The sequence below is a fragment of the Homo sapiens genome, chromosome X (genome assembly GCF_000001405.40).
Source record: "Homo sapiens chromosome X, GRCh38.p14 Primary Assembly".
In the NCBI taxonomy this organism is placed as follows: Eukaryota; Metazoa; Chordata; class Mammalia; order Primates; family Hominidae; genus Homo; species Homo sapiens.
The window spans coordinates 68,570,657-68,575,146 of record NC_000023.11 but is presented as its reverse complement, the minus strand read 5'-3'; the positions used below and the strand labels follow the sequence as shown (position 1 = coordinate 68,575,146).

The 4,490-nt window shown below is 44.1% G+C and overlaps 3 annotated features.

The window, feature by feature from the left end:
- Positions 3,227–3,476: an enhancer, noted in NCBI's record as "active region_29726". NCBI's record gives its function as "activates an Ori minimal core promoter by ATAC-STARR-seq in GM12878 lymphoblastoid cells {active_cell/tissue: GM12878}" and the evidence as "EXISTENCE:reporter gene assay evidence [ECO:0000049][PMID:35858748]".
- Positions 3,227–3,540: a biological region, named in NCBI's record as "Sharpr-MPRA regulatory region 12156".
- Positions 3,246–3,540: an enhancer, noted in NCBI's record as "tiled region #12156; K562 Activating DNase matched - State 5:Enh". NCBI's record gives its function as "activates a minimal TATA promoter and a strong SV40 promoter by Sharpr-MPRA in K562 cells {active_cell/tissue: K562}" and the evidence as "EXISTENCE:reporter gene assay evidence [ECO:0000049][PMID:27701403]".

Genomic DNA, 4,490 nt, shown 5'->3' with positions numbered 1-4,490 from the left:
ACATCAAACTTGGCTATCAACGAGGTCAGAGGGCTCAAGAGTCTTGCTGGCACAGCAGGCAGAATGTCAGGGCTACTATTTGAGGGTCTGGTTCAACACACTTCATGTGTGAACATGTATCAATCAAAATAACACTAGCTGCTGTAACCGTTTATGTGATGGAGGTAAGCAGTAGATGGGTCAAATGGTAGTTGAAGACTCTGGGAAAGGCACAAAATGGGTGGGTTTTTGATTCAACAGAACATAGCGGTGCAAGTCAATGAACTGGAGAAGCTCCTGCAAGCATCAGACAGTGGGGCAGCAGGTAATAGAACTGAAATGGCAGTGTAGAAAGTGGACTACATTAGTCAGGATATCTACCCGACAGCAAATGTGGCTTGTGGCCCTGAGAAGGGAAGGATAACAGTATATTACAAAGTCTTGGGTTACTGTCCCCAAGAGATTTCCCTGGCGTATCTTTGGTTCTGCATTTTTTTTCCCCCTTAGAACACTGGGCCTGATGCTGCCCCACCAAAAGCCTCAACAAGCAGGTTGATTGTCAGGCTGTCTTCCAGGGTGGGAGTAAGGCCGAGGCACCTGGGTTCATTGTGCCTTTGCTGGGGACCCTCTTAAGGCTGTGCTGGCACAGGTGTGCTCCCTGGCAGCCTGAAATGAGGCGTATGATTCAAAATATCACCAAATGAATAATTTCCTAAGGAGGGAGGGGCGGTATCTGATTTCCCTTAGTCTTTGGTTGGTACCAGGATTACTCAGATCAAGGGCTCATTCTAAATGAAACAGAATATCTTAGAGAATGAGATAGACAACCACTCCTTGGTTCAGGAGGTTGAGAAGGATAATAATAAAAAGGCCCTAGAATTTACTTGGAGTAGTACACAGGCCAGAGAGCATGTATTAATCAAAGTAACACTAGTTGATATAACAAACAACCACATCTTGGTGGTTTAGCATAATAGAAGTTTCTCTCATATCTGTTAGAGAGACTGTGACTCTCTTCCAAGTGACTAAAGGATCCAGCTATTTCCATCTTATGGCTCTGCCATCTTGTGGCTTTAAGGTCACCCTAGTGTTTCAGAAGCACATGAAAGTGGGAAGAATCACACACCTGTTACTCAATCACTTTGGCCCTAAAATGATACACGTCATGTTTACTTGTTGTATTGGCAATAGCTGGTCAAATGATCTTGCCTAGAGGTGCGATGGAGCTTGGAAGTGGTAGTTCCGGGCTGGGAAGCCTCTTTGCAGCAACAACTCTACACCATGGAAGGGAAGCCTGAGCCTTTGGTCATCATGTAGTGCCCTCTGCAACAGGATAGCCCCAAATATATGTACTGTCCCAGTCCAGCTTGAAATGCTGTCTTTCACTAGTCCTCTTGCATACAAAGCTAAATAGCCTACTGAGTTCAGATTCTGTGAGTTCCTGGATCTGCTAGAATTGTACAACCGGATGCAATTGAGCAGGAGTGGGTAGTGATCCCATCCTGCCACTGAATCAAAGTCCCACTTGTCTACTTTTTCATAAATAATGGGAGTGCCAGCAGGAAAATTTGAGTGCTAGATGGCCCCACACACAAGTTCAGATTGAGATACCCCCTGAAACTTAAGATTCTGCCATTCTTTGCCAAGGTAGCATTATTTGCAAAGGCTCAAGACCCTAGGGTGAGATTAATGGTGTCATTGTGGTTACTGTATGGAGCAGCTGCTCTCCATCCCTCTCAGACAATTCTTTCTAGAATGCCTATTTGCCTGGTGAGGCAGACTGGACAGCCACTGACCTGACCTCCAAATTGCCCTAGGAGAGGTACATGACAGGATTCTTCTAAGTCATGAATGCATGAATGATTGGCAGCACCCATGGCTCTGTATGGTCCCTATCCTGACCTGCAAGAGCAGGCAGGGTTTCACAGAGTCCTTCCAGCAGGAGAATGTTAATCTCATCCATTTAGACTTGTTGTAGTTTGAAGATCACCTAGCTGAGTCTCTTGAAACAAGGTTCAATTTAAAAAGTTGTGAGATGCCATGAAGTCCACCCTTGTCTGTATCAACAGTTGGGTGCCAGCCAGTGATGTACTGGTAAATGCTTAACAACCAGCTCTTCTGAGAAAAAAAAGTCAGACCTGTAGCATTTGCTGATTTCTATGCTGCAAATACTCCCACAATGGCTGATTTCATGCTATCAATGTTGTATCACTGAATGCAGAGTTGAGCAGAAGTACAGGAACATACCATTATATGTATATTCAGTATTTCCACCATACATACAGAATGGACAAAATAACTTCAAGAGTGTAGATAAGACCTATAATCCCAGCACTTCAGGAGGCCAAGGTGGGTGGGTCACCTGAGGTCAGGAGTTCAAGACCAACCTTGCCAACATGGCCAGCATGGCCAACATTGCCAGGCAAATTAGCCAGGTGTGGTGGTGCATGCCGGTAATCCCAGCTACTCGGGAGGCTGAGGCAGGAGAATTGTTTGAACCCAGGAGGCAGAGGTTGCAGTGAGCCGAGATTGCACCACTGCACTCCAGCCTGGGCAACAGAACAAGACTTCGTCTCAAAAAAAAAAAAAAAAAAAGTGTAGGTAAGAGTGTAGTAAAATAACTAGGAAGTGATTGATTAGTTTTGAGTATTTGCTATCTATGTTTTAATGTAATGCATTTAATAGTAAGTTCATGTACATTAATTTTTTTGTTTGTGTTGCCTTTTTAATTTTAAAAAATAAATATATACTTTTAAACATACAGAAAATAGGAAAAAATAGCACATTGAACACCCATATACACACCAGTTAGATTCACTAACATCTTGCCATATATGCTTCATGCCATGTACATTAATTTTTAATAATGGCTGTGACTAATAATCAGCAAGCAAAATTTCTGAAAATTTCACAATCAGCTCTTCTAAGTCAAGACAACCTCGCTCTAGCAACACCACTAGTCTCAGCTTTCTCACCCCAGTACCATGGTTAGCCAATCAGGACAGAGAGAGCAGAGGAAGTGTGAGCATGGAAATGAACAATTTTCTTCTCCCAGTGGACTGAGAAATTTCTCAACAGTGATAGCAGGGTACCCAAGACAAAGCACACAACCTATCCTAGAACAGGCACAAGGCTGGTGCATGTGTGTCTAAAAGCAGACTTTAGGGAGACACAGCCCTTCTAACCTTGCAAGCTCATTATTAGCCTTAGAAGTGACTCATGTAAGTTCTGAGTCATGAGATATACTAGGTGGCTCCCACACACACTCAAAGTCACCAGTTTAGTCAGCCTTCCATATTGAGAGTAGAGGAGCTTGAAAACTCCTCCTAGAATTTCCTTGCTTGGTGCTATCATTCTAAAACAAGACCTGTGCTAGTTAATCCACCCTTCCCCTGGAAAAGATAGAGTAGATATGTTGGTGTGCTCTGCCCAGGACAGCGGAAGTTTGGCCATCCCCTCCCTGCTCACACACAGAGAGCTGCCAGAAACCACACAGAATCTTTCAAGAAAAGGGTGGCCAGCCTGCCTAGAAAGAAGTCTCATCTATCAAATCTGCCACTGTCTGCAGTCACCTGATGGCTTGCATGGAGCTGGAGGATCTGCTTCACTGATGGCTCAGTCATGTGGCTGCTGGCAGAAGACCTCAGTCCCTCAAATTGTGGGCCTCTCCATAGGTTACTTGAATGCCATCAGGACATGACAACTAACTTACCCCAGAGTGAGTGCTCCACTAGAGAGGGAGCACAGAGGAAGCCGCACTGTCTTTTTTATGATCTAGTCTCTGAAATGTCACAATCACTTTTGCTTTATTCTATTCGTTAGAAGCGAGTCACTGATGAATTTCTTTATCCTATTCATTAGAAACAAGACAGTAAAAGCAGCTCACCCTCAAGGGGAAGGGAAATAGGGTCTTCCTTTGAAAGGAAGGAGTAGCAAAAAATTTGTGGACAAATTTCACAGCTACTGCAGTTCTCCCTCTTTCCACCAACTATTGATATTCCTCCCATATGCAAAGTACACTCACTCCTCCCAAGGCCCCTAAAAGTCTCATCCCATTACACTATCAGTTTGAAGTCTAGATTCTCATCACTGAGATCAGGTCCAGGTCCAGGTGCACATAATGCTCCTCAGATGTAGTTCTTTAAGTATAGCTTCTGGAGTACAGTTCCTCTCAACCTGAGGACCTGTGAACCAAAGAGAAAAGATATCGGCCACGGATACACCCAACATGCAATGGTGGGAATGAGTAGAATAACCTCTACAGACATTACTGTACAAGGAAAGGGGAAAACAGGCACAAAGGAGTCGCTGTTCCATAAACAATTCTGAAATATACCTAAGGACATGTTGCAAGTTCCTTGATTAGGACTCGGTCTGGGAATAATTCTCTGCACCTCTTGGCTCTCCCCCCTGGGCTCTTGGTTCTATCCTCTGAGTCATCTTTCCTTTCCACAAAAAACACTCTGTTTCCAGGTGCATGATTTTTTCAGCTTTCTTCCTGCCAGTAGAAT